Below are 2,109 nucleotides of genomic sequence, written 5' to 3'. Positions count from 1 at the left end.
GTATTTCCTAACTCAGCATCCTCCCTGGCCCTTAATCCCACTCCCTGATGTTGGCCCTGACTCCTTCCAGAGCAAATGAGATGGTTCTGTCTTCAGACTTCCAGGAAAGGAAAAGAGAGGACAGTGTATTCTTTTTTTTTAAATTAATTAATTAATTAATTAACTAATTCTTTTTTTTGAGACAGAGTCTCGCTCTGTCACCCAGGCTGGAGGGCAATGGCGTGATCTTGGCTCACTCTGACCCCCACCTCCCAGCTTCAAGTGATTCTCCTGCCTCAGCCTCCCGAGTAGCTGGGATTATAGGCATGTGCCACCATGCCTGGCTGACTGTTTTTGTATTTTTTAGTAGAGATGGGGTTTCGCCATATTGGCCAGGCTGGTCTCGAACTCCCAACCTCAGGTGATCTGCCTGCCTTGGCCTCCCAAAGTGCTGAGATTATAGGCGTGCACCAACATGCCCAGCCCAGCAGTGTATTCTTCTAACTACCTCATTGCTACCTACTTCACTCTATGGATCTGGGGCAAAGAACTGTCATGTGACAGCAGCTGCCACTGAACAGTGACTAAGGGGAGGACAGAAACTCCTGCTCATCCTCCAGGTCTCTATTCTTGGAGAAGGTCACCTTCTCCAAGAAGCCTCCTGGGACTTCCAAAAATGAGTCAGGGCCCCTCCTCAGTCTTCTCACGGGCCTTCCCCCTTGTGAACACTTGTCCTACCAGGGATTGATGGCTTGTTTCCTTGCTCTCGGCTCACTGAGCTCTCATCTCCTCCAGGGCCAGCACTGGGGCTTGCTCACCAGTTCTATCCTCAGCACTGTGACAGAGGCTTGTGCAGATCTTATGGCCACAGCAGCCAAAACAAAGATGGGTCTGAGGGAGGTGCTAGGAGTCCCTACTGCGGGGAGCAAAGCGAGCATGAATGAGCATGTGCAGATGACCTCACGCTTCCCTAGAGCAGGGATCACGCTTGCATTGCTCAAGCTCTGGGCGTCTCTCCTCCTTCCAAAACAACTCCAGGTTGTGCACAGAGGTGACACTTCCTGACTGACCAACCTCTCATCTTCTACCCTGTGGGGGACCAACAGGAATCGCCAATGCTCATACTAAAGTGCTTTTGTTTTATTTTCCCTTTCAATACATTGTCTGAACTTTTGAGATTCGGGCTTTAAATGAATGTATCCTTGTTATATATATAAATATATGATATATGTAACATATATGTTATATGTGTAACATATATGTTATATGTGTAACATATATGTTATGTTTTATGTTATATATATTATATATATATTATATCCTTCTGCTGAGGAAGGTTGAGTTTTAAGGTTATTTGCATCTCTCCTAGATCTTACCCTGTTTTTTACTCACTATATTCTTTCTTTAAAAGGTGGAAAGTTTAGTCTTCTCATTTATTTCAGCCAGGAATATATTCAGCTATGAGTGACAGTGAACTGAGAGCTAGTGGCTTAAACACATAAAGATTTTATTTTCTTACTAAAAATAAGTCCAGAGTGGGGGTGGTCTGGGCTGAGGAAGTGGCACCACGATGTCATCAGGGAGCCACGCTCTTTTTATGTTTCTGGTCCACCCTCCTCAGTAAATGACTTCCATCTGCAAAGTCCCCTCAGATCCAAGATGGCAACCACTTAGCAGCCATCATCATCACATCTCTGACTTGAAGACTAAAGAAAAGGGTGTGTTTCTGGACTTTCAGGGAGTTTTTGGAAGTCTCATGTAACATTCTGCCTACACCTCATGGGTCAGAACCTTATCACATGACCACATGACGCTGAAGGGAGACTGGGACACATGGTCCTTTAGCTGGGCATGCTGCTGCCCCCAAATAATATCAGGATCTGTGACTGGGGGAAAGTGGAGTATGGATGGTGAAGCAGGTGAAGTCCCCATCCTCCACCATGCAATTAACTTCCACTGCTGTGTGAGTGTAAATGATATTCCAAGTGAAAGTCTCCTTGCACCCACGTTGACAGGGCTCCTGTGCCTTTTAACTGGGTCAGTCTTTTGGTTCTAGAATAATGGGCAGTGTCCCCTTGTGGCTTGAGGGGGTCTAAACACTGCCTGCTGCAAGAGCTCAAGACGATCTCT

At 46.1% G+C, this 2,109-nt stretch overlaps 1 annotated feature.

Moving 5' to 3' along the window:
- Nucleotides 822–1,116: an enhancer, noted in NCBI's record as "tiled region #4888; HepG2 Activating DNase unmatched - State 4:PromP, and K562 Activating DNase matched - State 8:EnhW". NCBI's record gives its function as "activates a minimal TATA promoter and a strong SV40 promoter by Sharpr-MPRA in HepG2 cells, with weaker activity in K562 cells {active_cell/tissue: HepG2 | K562}" and the evidence as "EXISTENCE:reporter gene assay evidence [ECO:0000049][PMID:27701403]".

The sequence above is a fragment of the Homo sapiens genome, chromosome 18, assembly GCF_000001405.40.
Source record: "Homo sapiens chromosome 18, GRCh38.p14 Primary Assembly".
Classification (NCBI taxonomy): Eukaryota; Metazoa; Chordata; class Mammalia; order Primates; family Hominidae; genus Homo; species Homo sapiens.
Note: the sequence above shows the minus strand (reverse complement) of the source record. Positions and strands in the feature narration are given on the sequence as shown.